This window comes from Homo sapiens, chromosome 15 (genome assembly GCF_000001405.40).
Source record: "Homo sapiens chromosome 15, GRCh38.p14 Primary Assembly".
Classification (NCBI taxonomy): Eukaryota; Metazoa; Chordata; class Mammalia; order Primates; family Hominidae; genus Homo; species Homo sapiens.
The window spans coordinates 61,175,516-61,176,065 of NC_000015.10; the positions used below are offsets into that span (position 1 = coordinate 61,175,516).

Below are 550 nucleotides of genomic sequence, written 5' to 3' on the forward strand. Positions count from 1 at the left end.
GAGCAACATAGTGAGATCCTGTTTCTAAAAAAAAAAAAAAAAAACTTGCCAAGCATGGTGGCATGTGCCTGTGGTCCCAGCTACTTGGAAGGGCTGATGTGGGGGCGTGGGGGATTGCTTGAGCCCGGGAGGTTGAGGCTGCAATGAGCCATAATTGTGTCACTGCACTCCAACCCGGGACACAGAGCAAAACCCAGTCTCGAATAAAATAGAAAGGAAGATGTTGAAACTGAGGCTCACCAAAGTTATGTGTTTGCCCAGGCCACAGAGCTAATGAGCCACAAAGCTAAGTCTCAGACCCATATTTCTTGCTCTGAGTTGGGCTTGTCTTCTTTCCTTAAGTTTTATTTCTTAATCTCATAAGAAAATGTCACAAGTTATTGTAGCAGTGAAACAATGAGGGCATACACAATGAAAAAAACCTCTCCTATCTCACGCCAACCACAGGCTTCTGCCCTGCAAAGATCACCAATGTCAATAGTTTGGTAATACACCATCATAAAGGTTCCTAAATTCATCTCTATATCTACAAACACACACACACACATTC

The 550-nt window shown here is 43.5% G+C and overlaps 1 protein-coding gene across 2 annotated transcripts in view; it reads right to left on the minus strand.

Annotated features, from left to right (window-relative positions):
- The window catches only part of RORA (RAR related orphan receptor A), a 741,019-nt gene that overhangs the window by 687,232 nt on the left and 53,237 nt on the right, over nucleotides 1–550 (minus strand). The gene's annotated exons all lie outside the window — the stretch shown is intronic.